This window comes from Homo sapiens, chromosome 14, assembly GCF_000001405.40.
Source record: "Homo sapiens chromosome 14, GRCh38.p14 Primary Assembly".
Lineage (NCBI taxonomy): Eukaryota > Metazoa > Chordata > Mammalia > Primates > Hominidae > Homo > Homo sapiens.
In genome coordinates this window covers 60,284,428-60,312,114 of record NC_000014.9, presented here as the reverse complement: position 1 = coordinate 60,312,114, position 27,687 = coordinate 60,284,428, and the positions used below count along the sequence as shown (strand labels likewise).

Genomic DNA, 27,687 nt, shown 5'->3' with positions numbered 1-27,687 from the left:
CGGTGGTGGCACATGCCTGTAGTGCTAGCTACCTGGGAGACTGAGGTGGGAGGATCATTTGAGCCCAGGAGGTCGAGGCTGCAGTGGGCAGAGACCATGCCACTGCACTCCAGCCTGGTTGACACAGCAAGACCTTGTCTCGAAAAACAAAACAAAATAAAAAACCCAAAAATCTAAACTTTGGAGAGAAAAGGGAAAGCCCTTCTTTATAGTAGAATATGGAAAGAATGGAGTCAGAAAATAAACTGATGCTAAAACTGGTGGGTAAGAGTTTAATGAAGAAGGCTATTTACACAGTCTTGAATAATCTCCCCATTAATTACATGTTAATTGTAAAGAGAAAAACATTGACTTCACAGTGGAGAGAACCGGTAGGCATCACCTTAACTGAGGGAGCAAAGATAACATCACCAGTAATGGGACAAATAGATAACATGTGCCTCCCGATGTAATGTATTAAGGATGTGACGTCAGTTCTATTGGGTTCCTGCCAATGCTGCATAATCTGAAACTAATCAGAGAAAGCACTAGACAAACCCCAACTGAGAGATATGCTCAGACTAACTGGCTTCTGTGCCTCAAAAATGTTAAATGTAATAAAGACAAAGGCAGGCTGAGGAACTGTTCCAGAGTAAGGAAGCCATAGAGATATTACAACAGAATACATTTGCATAATCCCAGATTGAACCGTGGAGTGGAAAAAAATAGCTACAATAAACATTTTGAGGCAATTGATGAAATTTGAACAGATTATGGATAAGGTAACAGTATTTTATCAATGTAATATTTACTGGTTGTGGTAATTACACTGTGATTTTTATGTAAGAAAACACCTTTGTTCTCAGGAAATATAAATGAAGTATTTAGGGATAAAGAAGCATAATGTTTCCAACTTCTCCAATGGTTCAGAAAATTGTACGTGTGTGTGTATGTGTGTGTGTGTGTGTGAGAGAGAGAGAGAGTATGGGAGAAAAATTTTTAAAATGAGGCAAAATTTAAAAAATTGGTAAATCTAGGCAAATGGTATTGGGAATTCACTGTACTATTCTTTCACCTTTTTTGGAGGGAGGTATAAGAAAACATTACCCAAGTTAAGTTGAATTTTTTTTGGGGGGGGGGCACAAAATAATTGTAAAAATAAGAGAGTTTAGTGTCAAGATGGCAACACCAAAGCTCATGTGCCTTTTAGGAATCTCCAGAGCCCTATCTCTTGACCAAGCTGTTTTCAGTTTCCTTGAGGAAAACTACATGCGCTATACTGAGTTAATGATTTGTGTGTTCTGCTATGCCAGTGACGCTTTTACAGAGAGAAACAGAGGCAAGAAGGGGTGAATGAACTTCGGTAGAGGTACAACAGAAGGCTTTGCGGGGCCCCAAGATTCAATAGAGCTGAAGAATTAAGATCAGAGACACAGCCTTATCTACCTGACTTGGATGTTTTTATACAAGTCATTTACCAAGAACCCCCTCCCCAGAACACCTAGCTTTGAGTGGGGCCTAGGTTAAGAGAAAGATAACTTTGCTAGCTGGTCTCAGAACTCAGCAGAACTAATGGGTTTGGAGTATCTGAGATCTGCAGGGGTTTGCAGCAAAACCAAGGCCTCTTTGACAAGCATCTGCTCTCATGTTACAGCATAAAGATGAGCTAATGCTCTTGGATTCACTGGCTTTAACACACATCCAACAGCCAGAAGCATCTAGCCTTACAGAAAAGTTGATTGGCTTATTGAAGACCAGTCCCAGGAGCACCTGTGAGGTAGTGAGGTAGGAGGTAGTAATTGACTCAGGAGGTGGGACTCGGACACAAGGCCAAATTGAGAACAAGCTAAAACAGGGACAGGGCAAAAGCAGCTTTCCATAAGACACACCCACCAGCATGTCATATCAGTTACCATTGCCATGGCAACATCGACATTACTGCCCTGTTTCATGGCAACAACCTGATGACCCAGAAGTTACCACACCTTTTCTAGAAATTTATGCATAATCTGCCCCTTAATTTGCATATAATTAAAAGTGGGTATAAATAGAACTGCCTTTGAACTGCTACTCTGGGCACACTGTCTATGGGGTAGCCCTGCTTCATAAGGAGCAGTGCCTCTGCTGCTGTACACTGCATTGCTATCTAACACCAGCTCACCCTTGAATTATTTCTTGGGTGAAGACCCAATTTTACGGCTTACCTGGCCTGCATCAGAAGTACCTTAAGAATATAGGATGCTATCTTGCAGGATTCTATTTGTGTTCTGAACCAGTGACTGAATATAGTGCTCTTTTTTCCAAAGAAGGATATGAGGGTCTAGAACTGTGCTGTCCAATATGGTAGCCACTAGCCACATGTACCTATTTGAAAACTAAAAGTTAAAAATACAGCTCCTCACATTAGCTACACTTTTAAGTGCTCAGTAGCCACATGTGGCTAATGGTTACCATATTGGATAGTATTACAGAAATTTCTGTTGGACAGTATTGGTCTAGAATCAAAGTGGTTGATCACTTGTAAAAATTTTGCTTTCCATTCTCATGACTGCTGGTTTAGAAGCTTTAGTAATCAAAAGAGGAATGCTTACACCAAGGTAAATATATCATAGTCCCACTAGGTTGGAAGTTGACACTGCCACCTATTTGGAGCACCTTCTTCCAGTGTGCAAAATGAAAGGCTGGGGTGGGGGTGTGTGTTATTATTGGCTGATGTATTAGTCAGTAAAGACTTAATTGTGCTTTGACAAGTGCCTCCCAACTTTCAGTGGTTAACAAAGGTTTATTTTTCATTCACACTATTTGTCAATCATGAATCAATAGGTGCAGCTCTGCCCATGTACTCTTCTTTCTGGGACCCAGGACAATGGAATATAGAGCAGTGCCAAGCTCATGGCAGAACCATATGATTAAAGCTGCCTCATAAAAGTCACTCACATTCAATTGGCTAGAGCAAACCACATGGCCAGCCTGATAGCAGTGGGATGGAGATGTATAATCTTCCCAAGGAACTGTCCCATAGAAGTGTCCTTTGGGGACAGCCAAGGACTATTTTGAACAAAATACCATAGCTAGGATGATTGACCCAGACCATTAAGGGGAAATCATATTGCTGATACAAATAGGGGTGTGCACACATCTAAATTTTCAGAGAATTTACCTTATCCCCCTCCCCAACCCCCACTTGCCCACAAGCTACAGCAGGTTGTCGATTAAATTCACCATTTAGTATATAAGTTGCTGAATGGCAAGATGGGACTGTGACAGGAATAGAGTAGACATCACAGAGATATACTGGACTGGGAACAGTAACTGACAACATTTTGTGTTGTCTTCCCCTGGGGATGGGCTAATGCATTTTCGAAAACTATGTTATGTGAGGCAGGGGCAATTGGGAAAGTACACGAGTGAAAAGGATGTGGATATGGATACTGGGAAACCAACGAGTTGAGTTATAGCAGACAACTTGCCAGAAATCATTACCTAGCATTCATCCCCTCTTCCTAATTGCACTCTATTTTCTTTGGGAAGTCTCTTATACAGCATTAAGTATTGTCTTGGTGTTTGGTGCATCACTAAATTTTGGTGTCTGCCACACCACAGAAGCTAAGAAGATAGCTTCTTCCTCTAATTACCTTGGCTCCTTCCCATTTTCAACCTGGTTTTCAAGATTTTTTATACATCTGTGAGCTCCTAATGGGCTTGCTATAAATTTCACTTTTTGCTTAATTTAGTTAGAGTCCGTATCTATTGCCTGGAAACACAGTGCCCTAACTGATCCATCCACTGTGTGGTAGGCACTGTGCTAGGTGTCTTGTATACTTTGTCTCAACATTTCTCACTATCTACCAGCCTTATGGGGAAGACAGGCATGCGAAAGGCCAATTGCTGGTAAACAAGAACCACAGAACTTCTTTGTCTTGGCTACTTATTTTAAATGGGGAGTGCAAGAACCATTATTACTGTAGGAATCAGGGTTGATCCTCACCAGCCAGGTAACAGGGAGGGGAACGAAGCAGTTTGCAAGCTGCCTCAAACCTTTGCCCAGTGTTGTGAGGCAGAAAGAGAAAACCAACAACTCAATCTATCATCATAAGTAAAGCTGGAGATCTTTTCAATAAATGGTTCTCGGAAAACCGAGCATCCACATGTGAAAGTCTAAAGTTGATACCTTACATTTCACCACATACAAAAATTAACTAAAAAATGAATCAGAAAAAATGGATCAAAGCCCTAAATTTAAGAGCTAAAATTGTATCACTCTTAGAATAAAGTATAGCTGAAAAATCTTCATGACCTTAGATTAGGCAATGATTTCCTAACTATGACACTAAAAGCACAGGCAAGAAAAAAAAACAGATAAATTGGACTTTGCCAAAATTAAAAACTTTGTGCATAAACTGATACTACCAAGAATACAGTGGAGGCCAGGCATGGTGGTTCATGCCTGTAATCCTAGCACTTTGGGAGGCAGAGGCAGGCAGACTGCTTGAGCTCAGGAGTTTGAGACCAGCCAGGGCAACATGGTGAAACCCCATCTCTACAAAAAATACAAAAATTAGCCAGGCATGGTAGCACGTGCCAGTAGTCCCTGCTCCTTGGGAGGTTGAGGCAGGAAGATGGCTTGAGCCCAGGAGGTTGAGGCTACAGTGAGCTGTGATTACACCACTGTACTCCAGCTTGGACAACAGAGCAAGACCTTGTCTGAAGAAAAAAAAAAAGAGTACAAAGGCAATCCACAGAATGAAAGAAAATATTTGCACATCACATAACTGATAAGGGATTAATATTCAGAATATATATATGAAGAACTCATAACACACACACACACACACAAAACCCCAATTCAATTAAAAAATGTGCAAAGAACTTAAATAGACATTTCCCCCAAAGAAGATATACAAATGGCCGATAATGAAAAGATGCTCAATATCATTAGTCATCTGGGAAATGCAAATCAAAACCACAATGAAATACCAATGAAATAGAATGGCTATTATTAAACAAACAAAAAATAAGTGTTGTCAAGAATGTGGAGAGAAACTGGAATCCTCATGTATTGCTGGTGGAAATGTAAACCAGTGCAGCCACTGTGGAAAAGAGTTAGGCAGTTTCTCAATAAGTTGGACATAGAATTACCATATGACTTGGTAATTCCACTGCTAGATAGATACCTCAAAAAACTGAAAACATACTCAAACTTATACACCAATGTTCACGGCACTATTATTCACAATAGCCAAAAGGTAGAAGAAATTCAAGAGTTCATCAATGTACAAATAGATAAACAGATGTACATAGGATGGAACAGGTACATAGGATGGAATATTATTCTGCCATAAAAAGTAATGAAATTCTTATACATGCTACAACATGGATAAACTTTGAAAACATTATGCTAAGTGAAATAAGCTAGACAAAAAAGACCAAATAGTATACAGCAGGTCCTTGAATAACACTGTCTTTTTCAATGTCATTTTGTTATAATGGTAAGAAAAAAATTGATTCCTTGGCTGGGGCCACTGCCTGTGGGGATTGTCTCCAGGTGCTCCAGTTTACTCCTACCTCCCAAAGATGCACACATTAGGTGAATGGGCGTGTCTACATGGTCTCAGTCTGGGTGAGTGCAGGTGTGTGTGCCCTGAGATGGGATGGCATCCTGTCCAGGGTCAGTTCCTACCTTGAGCCCTGAGCTGCCAGGAGAGGCTGTGGCCACTGCAGCCCTGAACTGGAGTCACTAAGGATATCATGACCCTACTTGTTTTTATTAATCTTAAATGTATGTATAGCTGATATGGTTTGGCTCTGTCCCCACCCAAATCTCATCTTGAATTGTAGCTTCCATAATTCCCACGTTATGGGAGGGACCAGGTGGGAAGTAACTGAATCATGGGGGCAGGTCTTTTCCATGTTGTTCTCATAACAGTGAATAAGTCTCATGAGAGCTGATGGTTTTATAAAGGGGAGTTCCCCTGCACATGTTCTCTTGCCTGCCACCATGTAGGACATGACTTTGCTACTCATTTGCCTTCCGCCATGATTGTGAGGCCTCCCCAGCCATGTGGAACTGCGAGTCAATTAAAACTATTTCCTTTATAAATTACCCAGTCTCAGGTATCTTTATGAGCAGCGTGAGAACAGACTAATACAATAGCTCACATTTATTTCAATTTGCAATAGTATTACTGTTTGGGGCCTTTATTTACAAGTTTGATGATGTTTTTGTGACCAGAAATATGCCATAGGAACTTAACTGTTATTTATGTCAATTAGCCTGTGGTATAACTGGTTTCTTTATATGTTGTTTTGCTTAAAGTCGCAGTTTCCAAGAACCCGTCGATGATGTTAAGAGGACTTGCTGTATTATTCCATTTGCAGGGGATATGCAGACTAGGGAAATTCCTTGGGACAGAAAGCAGAATAGAGGTTACCAAGTTCTGAGGATAGGGGAGAACAGGGAGTTGCTTCATGGGTACAGTTTCTGTTTAGGATGAAAAAGCTCTCTTTATAGATAGTGGTGATGGTTACACACATTGTGAATGTAATGAATGGCACTTAATTGTACATTTAAACATGGTTAAAATGGTAAATTTTGTTATGCATTCTTTACCACAATAAAAAATTATGTAAAAAAAAAAATAAAGCTGGTGCGATCTTCCTTGAGAAGTTAATTCAGGTGGCTAATGCTGATCACAGTTTGGAAAAAAGGTCCCCCCCCCACCGCCAGCTTTTATATATATATACATTTTGTACAGGTTATTTTCAATTATGGTGGGAGATAAATCTAGTAAATTTAAATTAATCTTCATTTTATACAACAATCCATATCACTGACTTTTTCATTTTGAGACAGAGGCTCACTTTATCACCCAGACTGGAGTGCAGTGGTGTGAACACGGTTCGCTGCAGCGTCAACATTCCGGGTGCAAGCAATCTACCAACCTCAGCTTCCCAAGTAACTGGGACTACAGGAGTGTGCCACCAGCCTGGCTCATTTTTGCATTTTTTGTAGAGACAGAGTTTCGCCATGTTTCCCAGGCTGGTCTCAAAAGCCTGGGCTCAAGCCGTCTGCCCGCCGCAGCCTCCCAAAGTGCTGGGATTAGAGGCGTGAGCACTGCGCTTGGCCCACTTACTGATTTTGTCTTTCCCATGTATCACAAGAAAATGACTGGAAATACTGTCACCAAATTTGGAGGTTTAAGGTAGTCAAACTTAAAATATAGGCTCTGTGGCAAACATAAAATCCAGTCTACTGTGGCAGTACCAGAAGCACTTCAGAGATAAGGAGTCATTACCTAGAGATGAACCCACGGCTTGTGCCTCGGCTGATGCACAGCAGAATGCAGTAGATACAGCCAAGTTCCCCAGTTGAACTGCCTGCCAAGTCTAAAGGCAGAAACTCCGAACTGCAGGTGTGGGTGGCAACGAGGCCTTGACAGGAGCAGCTTCAGGGTTAGTGACAGCAGGGGTTTATTTAAGATTGGTTAATAATTCTCCCCAGCAGCTTTGGGTCGGAGCTGCAGCGGTAGCAAGACAAAGTATCTAGTAGGGAACAGAGCCCGCTGGGATGGGTTTGGTTTTTGGTGCTTACCACTTATATTCAGAGAATTTCTACTCCAGACTTACAGTCACCAAGAAGACATCACTGTTTTACCTCACGTCCTAGCCACAACTGGTGTAGGTTACTGTTTTAGAATGGAAGGAAGGAGAGCACATGGGGTGGAGGGAAGCTTTCTGATAAAACTAAGGGTTTGGCAATGTTTTTGTCCAAATTACCGTATTCTGAATGAATGGACTTTGTGTAATAGCTTCAGAAGTGGCTCAAAAATAGGCACATAAACATCTTACAATAGTTTCGTCAGAAATAAATTACTGATAAATTGGAGGCATTGCTTTATAATGTTTTAAAAATTATAAAATGTATGTTTGTCCATTGTGAAAAACTTGAAAAATGTGGAATATGACAAACTACCAAGTTCCTGAATGGTTTTTGCTCTAATTCCACCTTCTGAACATTAATGTTATTTTGCTTTGATTGGAGGATGAGAGGATGATGGTAGCGTCCAACAGCAGCACTGAAGCAAAAGCAAACGGGAAGCCTCAAACAGCCTTATGTGGCCCCAGTCTCTCTGCCCCCACGCACGCTCTCAAAGTGCAGTTAAAATTAGACCACTTCTCCTGGCACGTGCTGGCCAGATGCTAGCCAGGCCAGCTACATGGTACTTAGCTATGGTCATGAAGACCGTTTCCTATTGTGGACTCACAGGTCCGTCAGAACCACTGCCAAGTCTCTCTGCAGCCCAGAACACTCCACTCAGGTGAATCTTCCTGACTGGACAATCAGCCAAAATCATTTAAAGGCTGCTAGGTTTGGGGCATCACTGTACTGGGTTAGAGAACAACTTTTCCATGTATTATTAAAATGCCACTGGAGAGTAAAGCTGATTTGAGATAAGCAGCATCTATTCATAACTGGGATGCCTACAAACAGTGACAGCTCTTTTCAAAAAAGCAAAGGAGATAAAAAGCAGGCTTTTTCTTAGGGACGTACTTTATCTAAACTTCTCTCTTGACCCCCTTAGGGAACCTGAGTGCAGAAAGTTCCTGGCAAGAACACTATCATCACTGGCCTCTGCTGCCTTCTCTACGTAATGCACACCTGTTTCCTCTGCTGGAAAACTCTTTGTACTTAGCTCTGCATATGCAAATTTAACCTTACCTTCAAAGCTGGGTGTTCCCACTCCCCCACAAATGCAGGAACATGGACCTCCTCCTAATTATCAGTATTTATAATGAGACCATTTCATGTGGTCCCAGCCTCTCTACCACCAGCACTTATCTCAAATAGTCCAGTTCAAATAAGACTATGTCTCCTGGCAAAAACAGAATGCCTATCTCATCTTCTACAGATGCACACAGATGCACAATCTTCTTCAGTCATCAAATACACATTAGACACCACAGTAGAGACTAGGCTTGTTCACAAATATTCTGATTTGTTCTTTCAGGCCCTCCTGAACTGGCAATGTGACTTGCTTTGGCCAGTGAAATAATTCAGGTAGGGGGAACAGCTAGAGCAAGTGCCTGTAAGACCCTAGGGCTTGAGTGGGACAGGCATGTTCTGAGGTCAGCTATAAGACCAGAACATCTAAAGCAGACTGAAGAAGGTGAGTTCAAGAGGTCACAAGGACCACATAAGATACGGGGCTTTGCAGGCCACTATAAGGACACTGGCTTTCTCTGAGTGGCAGGGATTTGAAGAGAGGAATGACAATGATCTGAGCAGGGACAGGGAGGATGCAGGGATTCACTGAGGATGAGGGGAGGGGTAACTTTCAGTTGAACCTTCCAACTTAACCTTCACTGCTAAAGGATTTTTAAAGCTTCCCAGGTCACTCTACCTTGCTGGCAGGTTGAAAACCACTGCTTCAGAGAAGCCAGGGAACTGATAACAGAAGGGAAATCTGCAATCCTTTATTTTAAACCTCGTTTTAATCGCTTTCCTAATCAAACCTATGACAGGTGACAATCAAAGCTGCATTATTCCCTCCTCCCCCTAACTCACCCCTCTGGAAGGGAGAGTTAAAAACATAATGGGGGGATGGGGGGTGGGGAAGAGACATGACTAATTTTCCAACCAGTAATGCATTAGAGACTGCTATAAAACATAAGGATGATTTATAAGGTGCCTAATTTCATAAAAATATGATTTTCCTTTTAAAAAACACACCTTGTTTTTCACTTTAAACAACCCTCCTTTCTTGCCCTTAGTATTTATCTCCTTTTCTTCCCCTCTTCCACCTTCCCTTTTCCTCTTCCTCCCTTGCCAAACAGAAAAATGCCAACTTCATTAAATGACTTTAAGTCCAAGAAAATCACATTCTAAGATTAAAAAGTACATTTTCACATATCCAAATTTTTATACCCAAAGGATTTTTGAACAAAAGTGACATTCAGTCCAAGAAACTAAAATATCAAAGATAGTTCCAAGAGATTCAGAGAACTGACCACATGATCTTCAAAAATTGCTACTGTATTCTTCCTTATCTCAAATTATGGAGATTTGCCCTCCAGGAAGTTTCCTTCTTGGAACCCTGCTCCTCTTGGGATGAAGCTTTTACTGACACTGCGGTCCTGTCAGATGCCAAATCCATTTGGTCGTGAAGCAGGGAAACCTCTGAAGGTCAAGTTGAACCAATAACACTACTGACAGTCACTGTAGAGTTGACCCCGAACAAGGATATTTATACATGCGTATGTAATACACTTAAAACCAGATTGTCATTCAACAGTCTGGCTTATTTGATATGTTGCAAAAATCAGGACAGAGCACATGGCAAACAAATCCTTTATGAAATTCGAGGAGGCAGAATTTCATGACTTACTTTCCTAAGAGTATTTACAGAAGCCCTAAAACAGAATGTGGTCTGGGGACCTACACATTTAAAACAAAAACAAAGAAGACAACAAAAAAAAGGAAGCATCCTGATTTCAGACATAAAAGTAAATTCTAAGGAAGGATACCCAGGGAGCTTCTTTTCTGTGATCTGGGCACAAAAGCAGTTTCATTGGTCTTACCAAATGCTAAGATCTCTTTCATTTTATTAAGGATCATTGCAACAGGATATGTCTGTTAAAATACATCAGGAAAGGTGAACAGTTATAAAAGTCAAATTTATACCAAGTACATAAAGACTTATTTGCTATGCCTAATAAGTTTAAAAAGTCACTTATATGCCTCCACTGTATCCAATCACTAGAAAATTTTTTTGTTAGGACTGTTCTGGAAACTTTAAGTTAAAAAAAACCCTTTCAGCATTGTTAGTAAGCAGTTAAAAGTTCAATGGCTAAAATAATTGAGAATAGCTCTGCTCTTATGATATACAGTGGCTCTTCACAAAAATATTTTCATTAAATATTAATAGAATCAAATATACATTCAAGACTGTCACACTGAGAATTAGAAGAACAATCCCTGAATGGTTTCAGTATGCTAATGTAAGGTACACATCTAATCCCGTTGACCCAGAACAGTTACACTCTTCTAGCAAATGCTTTGCCTTTAAAATACTAGGTAATTTTTAGCTGTTACCAAGGCAGACACAAATAGTAAAATAAAATACAAAAAATATATTTAGAAAAGGTGCAGCATGGCCGTAGCCTAAGTCAGAGTTTGAGTTGACACCTAGAACAAAGTTAGAGCCCTCAGCCACCTTTAACAAAGACTGCACTTTAAAGAACAATTGTTTTCAGAGAATTACTCACTGATGTCTCTAAGTCACAGACTAAATTGGATCCACGTCAACATCCCAATAAAATATTAGAAAGGAGCTCTCTACTCACCTCAATTATGTAATTCAAAATAAATCCTTAAAATCATTTCCCCCATCTTTAGTCTCTATTATATTCCTCCCTGAACACTTAAATTCGGCATCCTTTCCTTTCCCAGTCACTGCTGGAATAACATTTCTCATACTGATGTTGACCTAATGCTAGAGCATCTGTATACATTTGTATATTATCCAGCCTCACATTTGGAAATTTGTCCAAATATGTATAGCTTTTCTTTAAACCTCTCATCCAGTTCTTAAAAGACTTAAAATATAAATAATGAGAGAAATACCAAATACTGACTTGCAATCTGATCATTCAAGAATAACAACTAATTTCAGAAACAAATTAAGCTAGATAAAACTGCCATTTTTGTAGATCAAAAATCTAAATATTGTAAATTTTGCTAGTTCAAATTGATTTCCAGAAAAACTTTTGTACAGCTATAGAGAAGTGCTTTGGTCTGGAAGACACAAGCCTGTATCTAAACTATCACAGAAACATGTTGAATGTTTAGCTAATTCACTATTTAGGCACTCTGAATCACCTTAGATAGCATATCAGAAGAAATACATATAATGCTCATGTAAACAACAGGCAGCCATCAGAGCAAAATCTTTTACCAACATCTGGTAAGTTGTTGGTTTTGTGGCAAGTAAGCAAAGTTCTATAGAGGGCATGCAAACCAATTTCCCAGGGTAATTTATCAAAAAATATAGCACTTTTCAACTAGAATAAAATTTGACTTGATGAGAAGTTTAATCTGAGCTATTAAGTGATGGGAAATTTAATTTGAACTATTAATTGATAAAAAAGGAAAAAGAGAAGGGCACTCCAATGTAAGTTTCTCAGTAATAAATTAAGAAAAAAGAAATAAAACAACTTAAAGTAGCTTCAACATTCAAAAGAAAAGCTCCAAAGCGGGGTGGAGGGGGAACCCAAACCCAAAAAAACCCATGAACAAAACTGCATGATACAATTTGATGAGTGAAGAGGTTCCACTTACATATAAATAAAATAAAACCTTATTTGCCTTACTTTACCTTACTCAGTTCTAAGATATTTTACCTTTGGTTATGAAGCTTCATTACTGTTTTATTACACATTTTACAATAAACAAAATGAGCTCTTGCGGCTCACAGAATTTCACTTTTATTAACAGTTCAACTCTAAAAATTCTCTAATTATGGAAGCCATGACTAGAATCAATTAAACCTGTTTAAGTCACTTTCAGACATGAATGAACACAGGATATAATATAGCCAATGATCAGAATTGGCAGAGGAAATAAACACCTCCTTTCTGCATCCTAGAAACACACACATTTAAGTGCCATTTTGAAGCAGGCACTATACCACAGATACCAGGTGAGGAAGTCCTTTCCCAGACCACTCCCAATTCCCAATTTCAACTCTTCAAGGGAGTAATCATCTACTAGAAGACAGACAAATGGGAATGTTCTTACCAAAGAGAAACTACTCTGGCTTCTTTATTTCTGGAATGTTTCATGACAATAACCATCAACTCAAACTTCTTGGCTTTCAGTAAACTTCCTAAAATTAGGAAGGAACAAATCTAGTTCAAATCCTATCAGATTTATTTCTCAGCTGAAAAAAACAATTCTTTTAAGGTCTTCCAACAGCTAATTTCAAATTCTCCACGTTTCTTGGAATAAAAATGCTGCTTGCAATATTAAACAATCATAAATACACACACATTATGTAATTGCCTGTTTATTTAGTGGCACCAGTTTTCCAAACTAGAAATTATTTCTACTTTTCATCTAACATACAATCTGCAACCATTCGCAGGCTGAATGCAATTTTTCAATGAACTTGAAAACAAACAGTACATTCTTAAAGTTAGAACTGAATTCACATATTTTCTTTGGACCAGGAAATAATACATAATACAAAATATACATTTATGGAATTTCTTTAAAAGTGTGGATCACATAAACTGCAAAGTGGGTGAGTTGCTACGGAGAATTTTGTTACACATTGTATTTAAGAAAAATATTTCTGCAATTATATTATTCTTAACATTTATAGAGTTTAAAAAATGAATATATAATGCAACATGCTTTTAACATGTACATGTCTCTCCACTCATAACATTTATACAAATTAAGTGATATAACTCATTTCAAGAGTGAAATCAATCACTATTGGGGCATATCACTACAAACAAGATATTTTCCTGCAGATATGCTATTTAGTCAAGGGATAACCAGGTAAGATAATGGTTTCTATGTTCCAGAAGTCCCACAAATGGGAATTAAATAAGCTGTCATTAAACATCTAATTTTGGCAACAAATGCAAAATTCTATACGTTTGTTACATTGTACTTATTATATTTTAGAAATCTCATTAACTGTGTGCATTGGTGGTGGTTGTCCGACTTGGATGTTATTTTAACATCCTGAATTAGTAAGTAAATAACCTAATTCCTTAGAATATGAAATGAATTGAACATTTAATGAATCCTAATACTAGAAAGCTCAAAATCTTAAAACCTGGAGATCTGACAGGTAAATAAATGTATTACTTGTTAATATAGTATATCTGCACTATGGAGGCCAAAAATGTTCCAGATACATTCCATTTCTGTTTTACCTCTTTTCTGTTGAATTTCTAAAGTGGCAAATCTTAGAGAAAGACATTAACCTCCAAAACTTCTGAATACTATGTTTTTTTTTCACCTTTTAATCACTTTCCCCACCCCAAATATAATATTTTTTAAAAAGTATATTTTAATGTCAGATTCTAGCCAGGTCCCCTATCTACCTCTAGAGTGAAACAATTCCTTAAAATAGACTCAAGTTATTTTCATGCCCTAGAAATATACTTTTGGGCTTTGCAGGAAAAGGGATGATGCCCTATTGTACTTTAGAATGGGCTCTTAACCAGGGGGCCCATGAACCACTACAATATTGTAAACTTTAGGGAGATATGTATGTTATATACGCATTTTCCTGGGTAAATAAGTCCCTAGGATTCATCAGTCTCAAAACGCCTGTGACCCCAAAAGGTTAAGAAGCATTGCTAAAATGATTTTGTGTCATTCACTGTACCTAATTAGGATATAACTAATTTTGTTCCGCAGCTACCCGATCTCTTACATCAATCTAACTTACTTTAGATAGTACCATACAAATGCACGTTACTAAATAGTCTTATACTGGATCAGGAGGACTATGTAAAAGAAAAAGAAAAACTCTAAACAACTTTTCTAAACATTTAGTTTAATGAGAAAACCATTAGTTGAAAACTGGGTTTTGGAGCAATGAAAAGAAATGAAGGGTTGGGTTTTCTAGTGAAGAAACATTGCATTAATTCTTCTCAGTTGTTTCTATGCTGAAGAATCAGTAACTTATTAATTTCCTTGCTGGAAAAATCAAATTATCTGAAGCAGCAAAGGTTCATTCTTGTTGGTTTATGTGACACAATAGTTCTTATAAATTTACAGCCACGTACAAGGAAGACTTTCCTATGGCTTTTAAAACAATTAAGAGTAATCCTTCCCTACCTATCCCACTGCCATTTCCCCATTCCTCCATCTCCCAAGTTTTCTCATTTTCAGCCCGGTTTAACACAGTATTAGCTGGCCTTGATGAAGTAACACACTAAGCTTTCTTGCTCAAGAAAATGGAATTGGCCTGTTTCTGTTTGAAAAAAAGAGAAAACACCAAGAGGAAAGTAGAGGAAACAAGGGCAATATTTCGTGCAGGATAAGGAAGAAAAAAAGTCCACTTTGTTGTTATATCAACTTAATCTTTTTTCTCCATCTCATAAAAATATAAGTTGTCAACTGTAATTTCAATACCATCTAAGTTTTTCTAATTAGCACTCCTACCTGCTAGTAATATAAATAGGAAAACAGTGAGAGCAGAAGCCACTATCTTAACATACAGAACAATCGAAAGGGAAAGAATCTGTGAACAAAATTAGAAAACGTTCATTTGACAATGAATTGGAACCAATGCCTCTCATCATTTCTATTGAGCATTTTGACTATCAGTAATAACAAACATTTAACTGAGACTTATTATTCTGATCAACAAAACAATACAGTATTATACATTTTGAAAATGTATTCTTAAATATTTCAAGCATATTCCAAGGAAATATACAATTTAAAACATATACAAACCAAAACACATGGCACATAATTGAAGGAAGTAAGAGCAAATTAGGCTTCTAAAATTTTGAACTCTAAAGAAGGCTTCCTAATGCCTAAAAGAAAAACTAGAAGACTAGATACTCAAAAAATGGTAATCTCACCAGCAGTTTCTGTGAGCAAAAGTATATAAAACTCTTTAAGGTCCCTTAGAAGAAAAACCTCAAATGAGAAACAATTATATACTAAGATATTTACACATCTTTTCTAATACCAAATCCTAATACAATACTGTACAAACAGCTGAGTTTGAACTAAAAGTATATACCATGAAATTCAAAATTAAAACAAAACGAAAAATGGAGAAAAAAAGCAGTACCCAATTTCATCAGTTCTTTCAGAAATCACAAGTTGAACTCCAAATGAGTTTGTCCAGTAAAGATGGGCAGTGAAATTATTTTAAAATATTAAAACACATAGTAATAATTTGGCTAAAATTTGATATTAACACTGGCAGTGTGTTACAAAAACACAGAGTTCTACTTAAGATAAATTTAGCTAGAGATATTTACATTTTTAAATGCCTTAAACTCAAACCCCACCTACATTTCCATGGCTGGATAATTTTCAGAAATCTACTACCTATTCCTCTGAGTTACTGCTGTCAGCAGGAAGAATAAAGGCCGTTGGATAAATGCAATCAAGGATACTGAATGGGCTTAAGCCTCTTCAGTCCAATTTTATTCTTATGCTAAGCAAAATTTTCTTCTGAATTACTCTTTAACTTTAGAGAGAAGAAAATAAACTGGAGAACAGTTTTCAGGTGAGTAAAGGAAGTATAAACAAGGTCTTTAGGGCAGGGGCCTGCCTTGATCAGCTAAGTACCTGGTAGATAGCAGGTGGGCAATAGATATATATATATATTTTTTGATGAGTGATCCAGTTATAATACTAACATACACTAGATTATAAATTGTCCAGATGTAAACTTGAAGCCAAGGATCTACTCATTTCTTTACAGTCCCAATGTGCTTAGCCTAGAACAGTGTTTTACCAATAATACTCGAAACATTTTGTAAAAAAACTGAGTTATTAGCTGGGTTAATATATAGTCCTATGAATGATCACTAAAAGTACTGCTGTAATTCAGATTACTTGAATTACATAACTAATTTATTACTTAATCCAAATTTCTTAATGTTGAGATTAGTATAAAAAATTAAGTGGCTAGAGCAGTTGCATTAAGTACTCTAGAAGCAAGTTAATGCACTATAAAGTAAAAATATGTTTGAGATACTTCCAAAGCTGAATTAAGTTATCACTTTGATTTTTTAAAGTATATGCTAATATTGAGAACTGCTTCTATTGTCTATAAAAGTATATTCCCAAGAAAGTGGAAATTAGGAGATTCTACCCTGTTAATGAAAGAAAGATCAGTGAAATTTTTTAATGTTAGGGTAAAACAGAGCCTGCTATACAAAATGTTATTTCCTATTCATAGCAGCAAATAAGACATTTAAATGATAAAAGTATATTTTGAGTACTATATTATCATCACATAAGAACTTTTTCCCTCCAAAGAACAGAACACATCAAACATTTTTGAGGCATTGCCCTGAGATGCTAATTAGCACAAAAAAAGGGGATGGGGGTGAAGAATTTAAGTGGTACAAGAATGAAGTGCACAATAGAGGTGCAAAAGTGCCTTTAAAAAGTATGGTTGGTTTCCCCCCACTATTACCTCCAGGAATCAGGAACACACACAGTCTGCTGTTATAATGTATACTTCCTTCCTGTATTTTTATAGTAAAAAAATTATTAGTATGGCAGTGCTGACTCATGTGGAAAAGATTTAGTCTTCTCACATCACTCAAATACGGTTCTCTCTCGTGTCCAAGCCTAATTTCAATACTAATAATTTTGACAGGAATATTTTAATTTTCTCTTGTTTAAAGACTCAAAAAAAAAAGGCTCTAAATATGCTGTTATGGTTTGAAATACAGCTTTCCATCACATACTCTACTTGTGACTTAAGTTTTGCATCTCAAAAGATTACACAGTCCAGTTCAAAGTTTTGCAATTTCTGGAACTAAAGTTGTCAGTCTACTTAAAATATTAAGGAACTGGTTTGTTATAATAGGGATTTAGCTTTCAGTACCAGTATGTCTGGTAATTAGTCTATACTAGAAGCACTGGTATTCATTAAATGCACATTTAGATGCTTGCAAAGCCATAACTTAGAACATTATCATACTTCGCACTCTACCACAGATTTAGACATTAAGTATTTATTGTAAGTATGGAATTGGTTCTGTAATTTCAACTGATATGAATTTCTAAATATAAATAGTACTTCAGTTTTTCCTCATTCATGCTGGAATAAGATATAAATTAAATACAATTAAGTTACATTTAATCACCTCACAAAATAAGAGGGATAATGAAAAGATTTTGCTGGTATTTAACTACTTAAATCTGAGACATTTCACATTACTTTCCCCACTACTCCCCTAACTTTACATTAATTTTAAGGCTATATATACAAATATGTATATTTCCAAGTTAGGGAAAAAACAAATATAACAAAATGGACTATACTGGTTTTTATACACAAAATTTTGATTTTGTATTCAATGTTGTATTTTAGTCTTACATTTCAACAGTTTTCTAGTGGGAATCTGCCTACTGAATGATTACATGGTGATAAATACAATATTCAACCTAAAGAGACAAAAATACAGAAGGGCACGGAACAGTAATCTTTTCAATGCGACAGATTTTAAAACTTACTTTCACATGCTTAATCAGAGGAATTTAAGCCTAAATTAAATTAGGTTATTTTTATATCTACAATTCCTTAAGCTTTGAAAGTTATTTGTAAAGGCCAACAGCTAAATATTATCAACATGCTATATTTCAAATCACAAATACATCTTAACCACTTGGATTCTAAAGACATGGGCCAATTAAAAATCACAGGCAAACACACACTCACAAACACACACACACACACCCCTACCATAGAGTGTTAGATTGTCAAACTTTGACAATAAATATTTTAATTAAACAGTAGGCAAATCCAAGCTGATACACATCTTAATGAAAAATAAGCAGCCTGAAAGAAACCTATTTAAAAAATAGATTAAGGTACAACCAAGAATTAAATCTTTTAGTCTTTCTAATGGAAGGAAAGTTTCATCTATGCCTTGAGTGACAGTGTTGTCCAATTAAAAGAGACTAACATCTTTCCCTATGAGAAACGTCTCATTACAACGGCACAGTGTTTTAAAAGGCCAGGGTAAAAGAGGAATTACACATACATGATTAAGTTTCTTGTTTGTTAAATCAAGCTTTATTGATAAAATGGAATTCAGAATATCTTACTAGGAACAGCAGCAGGCCCAGCCAATCATGATAGCAAAAATGTGGCAGTTTCCTACTATATGTAGGAAGCTGCTGCTTATCAATTAGTAATTAAATGTAAGGACTTGAAAAGAGGTGCAAAGAAACAAGGCATTTAGCCCCAAGATTGAGATTCTTATGAATACACTGTATTATTACCTGCAATACTCATGGAAACAACGAAGGAACATCCTGAAAGACAGTTAAATGAAGGGACTGGCTTTATCAACAATGCCAACTCCCCTACCAAGAACATTTAAGATAGTTTTCAATAACTCCTTGGATGTTCAGCTTTGTAAGATTTTGAGGTTATTTTCCATAATCATCTGCACATTTGAGCGTGTAGCTGACATGGCTGCTGCTCTCCCTGTTCCAACCCCAAGTCCAAACACAACATGACTTGAAAGGGCTATATATCTGTTGCATCACACAATAAGCCAAACATTTCTTGTAACTTTGATAGTGATTTAAAGCAGTTCATAATTAAATATGAGCATTTTGTACAAGGACAATTACACTTTACAAAAAAACAAAATCATACAACAAAAATTGCTGGAGTCTGATTTACAACACGAATTATGGTTTGAAATCACGCTTACATAAGTCTCAAATTTACAAAAAAAAAAAAAAAAATCAGTTCTGGGCTAGCTGTTGTACTGCTGAAGTTCTCTGATGTAATCATTCTCACCCATGTCATATCCCCTTCCTTAAAGTTGAGGATGGATGTTAAAAGTTTCAACAAAGTTGAGCTGTACTCTCCTTTGGAGGTGAAGGTAAACTCCATGGCTAGATGAGCAGTTTTACCACATATCATCTGTTGATGTAGAGTCCTTTGTAAAAGGAAGCAAAATAAGGAACAACGTTAAAATTTAGCGGTGCCAAAATACACCATACTTTCTGGATAATGGAGAAAGATAATGTTCTGTAAAGATGACTTTTAGAATATAAATGTTTTTTAAAGTATATAAGTATATATGTGTACATATGAAATAGCAATGTTTAATCTGTTCAAAGAATTGTTAATCCTTTGTTTTGTTTTGGAAAATATTTGAAATGCGGTTTTATGATGAGGCTGTCCAAATGTATTACTCAATCAATAAATCTACTAAAAAGAATTTTTTAATGAAATCCAATACAGTTTTAGAATACCACTTTTATAAACCTTTAATGCATCAGAAAAGATTAAGAACTCAATATGTGAGGAAGCTTCATAATGCAATACATAAAATATTTCAGAGCTGTGCCCACATGATCTTTAAGTTATCACTTTTCTATAAACATCATACAACAGAATTGCAACAGAACACTTAACTGGAGAGTATGGCATTCTAATGTCTATTTATGCAAACAATTCTCTAATATTTAAGTGAAGTATATACTTCAGGATTCCTGACAAAGGTATTTCCAACCATAAGAACTATTTAGTTGAGACAGACATTCCGAAGTTCTGCTGCAGCTGCTTACAAAACTCAGAATAAGACAATATTCTGAGTAGAGATAGTCCCAACTTCGGGAAAAAAAAAAAAAAAAAACCATGTAGTGGAGGCAAACCTTCTGAAGTTGATTGTTTGTAAAGACTTAAAAAATCTAGAATAATTCAAAAGGACTTTCTTCTTTTTTGAGAGAGGTGGCCACTCACCATGATTATGTCCTCAATCACTAGAACTGTGGTGCAGGCAGAGATCAGAGCAAGCAGAGTTCAGAGCAATCAATCAGGGGTGTGTGTAAGAGAATGGGTACAGTGAACAGCTCTGCAAAAACAGGTAGGAAGGATATGCATTTAGAGTGGAGGGGAAGGGAAAGCAGAGGGAGCTAAAATGCTACTTACAGTGTCGTCATTTTTGTAAGGATTCAGTCTATTGTAAACGGCTTCAATAACATTCCTCCTAAGTGTAAAAAAATGCAGAAAATTAATTCTTCAGAAAGCAAAACATTGCTTAGTAACTCATAGCCAGGTGTTTATTAAAATTTCTAAGATAATCTTATACTCAGATATTATTTTAGTTCTATTTCTTGCTGTCAATAGTGAGCCTCACTTTTAAGATATTTGGGCTCCTATGTTAAAGCAGAGGTGAGTCTACTCTAAAATGTGTTATAACACTCTACCAACCCAGTTAATAGAAGGCTAAAAATTACAGATTAAAAAAAAAGTCTATATAGTCTACTTCCATTTGAATTGGTTTAAATGGTTATGAGTCATCAATGGCAATGCCATTCTTAAGATATAATACTAACATAAGCTAGTTGAGTTGCATCGTAGTTTTGAAGTCTCAGATTATACTTTATATTTAAGCTTCTACTTTTCTTAATGCCCTTTTCAAAAGTTCTATTAAAACTGAAATGTCAAATAAGACATTTCCATGACAAGTCTAGGAATTAGTTTTGAGTAACACTTTATTAAAAATCTGTAGTATATTTATAAGTTATAGTCTCCCTACTTCCAAAATTGACTTGAAGCAATTTTATAGATCGTTTCATAGAAAGTCATATGGAAAAAAAAAGTTTCCAAAAAATAAAAGCTTCAAACAGGAGCTTTTACAATCACTATTTAGTGATTACAAAGAACATGGTCACACTTGCAAAACACAGTAGAGAATCGAGAAAATTAGTCAATAATATATCTTCACTGTAAGTACAAGAAGTCTTCACTTGTAGTTTTAGCACATTTACTCTATATCCAAATTCAAGCTAAAGGTATTTGCAAGTTTTATGTTTGTAAGTCAATTATATGGATATTTGAGGTAAAAATGTTTTAACCCTTGGAATTGCTTGAATTTTCCACTTTATTATGTAAAGGTGTAAGCTTAATATTTAACACAAAGTAGTCCAATTCTATGAACTAAAGTGGAAAGGGAAAAGACAAGAAATATATTCTATCTTCTTCCCTGACACCTAAAACCAACTAACCAGCAATCAACAACCAAAAATACTGGGAAAATCAGGCATAGAAACATGGTCCATATGAGGAAGGGGAATTTTCAGGGTGTTAAGTTACTCAGGGATTGACCAAATCAAATTATACTACTACTAACAACGACACTTAGAATTTTGTAAATTTTTATGTAGTGCTATGTAATTTAGTTTAAAAAGTTCTTTCAGTATATTATCTCGTTTATGCTCTATGAGGAAATCAATGCCAACCAAGCTTCCAATAAAGACAACCCTCACTGCAATTAGTTACAATGATACTGATACCTATGTCTAAACAAACTCTAGATATTCTAATACTAAAAAAAAATTGAAATCACAGGTTAAAACACAGATAACTGCATCAGTTCAGAAATTAGGCAAACAAACATTTTATCAATGAATACCTAACATTTTCATACACTGACATAAAGCATAAGAGTGTACAGAATGTAACTTACTTGCTTGCCAATTCACCCCCTGGTGGGAGGCTGGGGATGTTCTCACTCGCTAATGTGCGCATCACATGGACTAAGTCGGGGACGCCTTCCCCCTGCTTCTTTATGATTTCTGGGAATCAGAAGTACTTTTTTTGTAAGTGTTATCCAAATTTAATTGAAAAGAAAACCGAAACAAAGATAACCTAGCTTTTTAAAGATGGCATTTACCACATCTGAGATTTTTCTAATCTGGTATCATTTAAAAAAAAAAAAAATCAGGTTGACCTTTGAAGATTTATGACAAAAAATGCACAAAATGACATATAAGATTAACTTCAAATCAAAATTAAAATGTGAAAAAATATTTCATGTTAAATCAGCATATTATATAATCAAGGATATGTGTGCACAAGTGAGAATACCCTTTCTTAAGATGTCAACTAGTTTCTTCTTACATCACTCCTCTCTTTAGACTGGAAACATGTTTCCTGAACTTTGCCCTATATAATACACTGCGTGGAATTTTAAAAAATAAACAATTTCAAGATTTGAAAATAACAACCCTTAATTATAGGGGAATTTATAGATTATATACTAACTCAATTATTTTTATGTATATATTTATATTTGCAAAATGATACTTAAATAGCATGCACAGATTATGTACTTGAACATCACTGTCTCAGTTTAATTCTTCTCTAAAGTACCTTTAAACAATATACTGTATAGATATATAATACCATTTCCTTCACTGATTACTTCAACAAAGCCTTGAATAGAAAAGGTCTAAATTTCCTTATAAAATGTTTAAAAAGAGAACCATTTGATAAACCATACAACTGCATTTAAAATAATTTTAAAATATCCAGTTATTAAAAGGGCACAGCAATATGATCTGCAGTGTTGTCATGCAGATGCATACTATTATTCACATCACAAAATATAAAAAATTATGAACAAAGAACCTTACAAAGAACTCTACAACTATTCCTCTAAGTATAAAAAGTCTTCACTTGCAGTTTTAGCACACATACTCCACATGCAAATTCAAGTCAAAAGTATTTGTAAGTTATATGGTCAAGTTTTGTTCAGTTTGTTTTTCAATGTTTATGGTAAGAAATGGTATTTTATTTGTCATTAGTGGGGCAAGAAATCATCATTCTGCTTCTCAATTTGTAAATACCTTTGAAAATAACAATGTGTATAAAGATTCGTCCTTTGATCAGGCCTCAAAATTTTTAAAGACATGGCTACCCATAATATTTCTTTAAATGGTTCAAACTGTCCTTTTAGAATAAAGGCCAAATTTTTACCATCTATTATTTTTTGCCTTAAAAAAAAAAACAGTCTTAAATCTGAACAAAAAGCAAGGATCTCAGATTTGGTTTGCCAAGTTCCTTTATTGTGTAATCTTTAACATCTAGTATATTTGTTCTACATGGTTCTAATGCTGGAAATCTGCTGTACAAAAATAAAGGGATTTGATGTTTACCTAAACTGCACAATTTCACAATCTAAAACTAATACACTTAACATACAGTCTCCGCTAAGCCAATACAATTATTTGGATAGATAACTAGATACAATAGAAATAAACACTGATGATAAATTGAATCAATAGTTTCAGGTCTAAAAAACATTACCTTGAATCATCTATATTTGATGTATCTTACATCTCTTTTGTTAAAATATAAATTAGGATATTTTAACTGTGAAGAAAATTACAGGAAAACAAATTCTTGTAAAAAAATAATGTAAAGCTTTAAAAACAGTTAATATCTCCTGTTCCACGTGGGACAACGCATTTAAACTACCTGACCATTCATACTATACTAGCCTTGCTTCTGTCTGCTTTCAAAAAAGAAAAATAAATGAATTTTAAGAAATATTCCTTTAATTTCTGTTGACCTATACGTTTTACTTAGAATTGTAAAAAGACTGAACGCTTTTTCTAAAGAATATTTATATATAGAAGATCCATGTTTCACATACATATACACAAACACATTCTGCTCCTTTCCACTCCCCTCCACCAAGTTTCAGGGATTCTATCAGTCATCTCCAAATTAGCAACTTTAAAGCTAAGGTAGTCAGTAGCAAAGATTTTGAAAATATATACACAAAAGTATAATTTTAAATTGGCTTAGAAGGACCACAAAATTAATAGTAGTATAAATTATGAGCTGAATCTTTTCACACCCCCAGAGAGTCAAGTATTTAGAAGGGAACAAATAAGAGAAAAGGAGAGCTGGAAGGCCTTTGTCCTTTTCTATGGTGTGGACAGAGAAGCCAAAAATGTTCCAAGCAAATAAAATGAGGTTTAGTAGGTCACAGCAATCTAGTGAAGGCATGTATTTAAAGAAAGAAGAGAGAGAGAAAAGAAAAAGGCATTCAGGTGCCTGCTTTGGAAGCTGAAGGCAGTATTTTTCACTGAGGACACACAACTTTTACAATACAAACAGTTACATTCTATGTTTTAAAATAGCAGCAATTTTAATGTAATATTTATTCTCTAGTTGCAGTCTCATCAAATCTGAGTAAAAAATACCATATTTAATTTATGACAATCTCCAATTGAATGGTACAAGTATAATAACACTTTAACATATCAAAAATATTGAGTATCAATGTAAACTCTGTCCAGGTGGCAACTCTTGCTTGATAATAAGAAATATAAAACTTATTATTGTAACAAAATAACGTAAAGTGAATATTTCATAATTCCATCTAAAACTTAAAGTGTACACACTAAAGAGAAAAGTAGCAATTCATTTCTAAAATTGGATCCCATTTCATAGTAAAAATATTAAAATACTTATTACTTCTTTAAACCAATAAGAAAACATGTCTGCCCAAGTTAAAGTGCCAATACATTAAATATCAACTTATCCCTATACATATTATTCTTATGAATTTAAATTTTCCCATGAATCAATAGTTTGAACCAATGATTGTAGCATTCTAAATATTTTAAAATTGTACTATACCTATAAATAACTTATATTGAATGATTAATTTAAAATATAAAAATTCCAAGACCCTTGGTAACAGTAAGGAGACAAATTCGTTGAATAGTACGTCCAATGAATGCAATACTAAATAGTACAAACACATACTAGATGTATGACTATCAAGTGGCGGACAGCAATAAAAACAAAATAGTAGCTCTAGACAGTACTAAAGAACAAAACCAATCATGATTCTAGTATCAGACTGATTATGATTGGTATCAAACAGTAAAAAGGGGAAAAAAAATTAAAGTGAGTAGTAATTTCAATAATGCAGGCACAGTGGGATGTAGGTGTGGTAGGTCAATGCTTGCATGCGATTAGAGGTCTTTAACGTGCAAATTAACGACATTAGGAGCCTAAAATGCATTTTAACGCTATTTTTAAAATTTTTTTCTTGTTTTTTTTCTACCTCAGCTCACCAGCATTTTCATGTTTTAACACTATTAAAGTCATGTCAAGTTTTTCCACTTAGAGAAACTGCATAATATATACACTTTACTGCATATATGCAATAAACTGGAAGTCTCTGCAGAATTATGAGAAATATACTCCAGAAATGCTCAACTTATTTCTTAATCTTACTTGGCAGTTACTTTTCTGCCAGGTGGAGAAATATTATGTCTTTTATTGAGGTCTATCTTGTTTAGGTGAGACAGTTTATGGCTTAGGGAAGAAGCTCTGAAACAGTTTAAAGCAAATTTTTTAAAGCTGTGTATATAAAGTTGCTAATGATGAGGCTGTGATTTTCAAGTTATTGAAAAAAGGCCCTAGAGATTAAAATTAATATACACAGCTTTTCATAGAAAGATGGTATTCAAATTATCACCATCACAATCTCTTTGTAATTAAATAGACCACAAATCAGATTTTCCCGGCATAAAATTACTCATGCCAGTGAATTCATTAAGAATTTTAAAGCACACAAACATTTTAGCCTTTTAAAACAAAAGTATCCTGAACAGAATGTGGGTTACTTTCCACACTAGTTGTTATTTCTAATATAACTGTGATAGGACAACTGCATACATCTTAACAGCTACTACAGAAATGTCCTTTTCCACTTTCATACACTAGACACTAGCTGTCAAAGACACATAAAAATCTAAAAGCTAAAATGTTAAAGTTTGATTGTGTTGAAGATTTTTCTTTAATAAAGCTACTTATTTTTTGTTAAATGATCCACCTTCTACTCTGCATTCCAGGTACTTGTCCAACTCTGCCTCCTTCTTCACTGCTTCTGGCGATACTTTGGGTGCATTTGGAAAACAGATCAAAATCACACTCATGTTGTCTCGACTTCCCTGGGAAGAAAAAAATTTGAGAATATTTTAGTTTTCTTTTTGCTCTTCAAAGCCTTGAGAACCTTTACAGCTGTGCCAATTACAGTTATACTTGTTCTAGTGAAAATGTTACTTTCAGGGAGAAAAAAATACATATGTGCACGCATGCGTGCGTGTGTGTGTGCAATGACTCCCCCTCCCCCGAACAGTATAGAGAGAATACAGTATAACCAATACTCCAAAAGACAGGAGAGAAACATTACAGGTTAATCTCACTGTAATAATAATTTTTTATAATTCTATAAAACAATACTATTTCTAAACATTTACTGGTGACTTAATTTGAAGTGATACCTAATACAAATATACATGTGTACACACACTCCTTCCATACAACATGACAGAAAATTTTAGTGGCATTGTTTACAATAGGATTTGACCTGTAGTTATATGTACCTGATAAAATTACCTTTAAAATAAATTATAAATTGTGGGGCTAATACATTCGCTTCATAAGTAGAAATATGAAATAAGAGGTAAAACTACCTAAGGTTTATAAACCAGCTTTTAACTTGTATTAATTTTAAAAACTGACAACTTTTAGGAACTACATTCATTTTTAAAGACATCTAAGTATTCAAATGCTATAATTAAATATTTGAGTATCAAATATATACCCTCAGAAGAATTTTAAAAAGTCAACATTTGTTTAAAAAAACATCAAAGAATAAGTTAATAAGCATTATTGACAAAACAGAACAGAGTGTGGCAGAAAGAACACTGAACCCAAGTCAAGGGCCTTGATTTTCTAGTCTTAATGCTGTTAGCAATGTATAAAACCCTGTACACGTCATTTATAATATCTGTAGGAAAGGGTGTAGCATGTATTATATGCTAAACTAGGCATTATATATATATATATGTATATATATATATACACACACACATATATATATATATACATACGCTCATTAATTCCTCAACAGTCTTTTTTTTTTTTTTTGAGACGGAGTCTCGCTCTGTCGCCCAGGCTGGAGTGCAGTGGCGCGATCTCGGCTCACTGCAAGCTCCGCCTCCCGGGTTCACGCCATTCTCCTGCCTCAGCCTCCCGCGTAGCTGGGACTACAGGCGCCCGCCACCACACCCGGCTAATTTTTTGTGTTTTTTAGTAGAGACGGGGTTTCACTGTGTTAGCCAGGATGGTCTCGATCTCCTGA

The 27,687-nt window shown here is 35.6% G+C and overlaps 1 protein-coding gene across 25 annotated transcripts in view; it reads right to left on the bottom strand.

Moving 5' to 3' along the window:
* The window catches only part of PPM1A (protein phosphatase, Mg2+/Mn2+ dependent 1A), a 53,338-nt gene continuing 38,678 nt past the window's right edge, over positions 13,028-27,687 (bottom strand). For 24 of the 25 annotated variants that reach the window (XM_047431505.1, XM_047431508.1, XM_047431511.1 and 21 more), the window contains 4 exons: positions 26,374-26,491; positions 22,201-22,309; positions 20,661-20,718; positions 13,028-19,662 (listed from right to left, as the gene is read on the bottom strand). In XM_047431505.1, the coding sequence (XP_047287461.1) occupies positions 19,633-19,662; positions 20,661-20,718; positions 22,201-22,309; positions 26,374-26,491 (315 nt within the window). In that variant the 3' untranslated portion in view covers positions 13,028-19,632. Of the gene's footprint in view, positions 19,663-20,660; positions 20,719-22,200; positions 22,310-23,559; positions 26,492-27,687 lie in introns of those variants that run through there. The other variant, NM_177951.3, reaches the window with a different exon arrangement.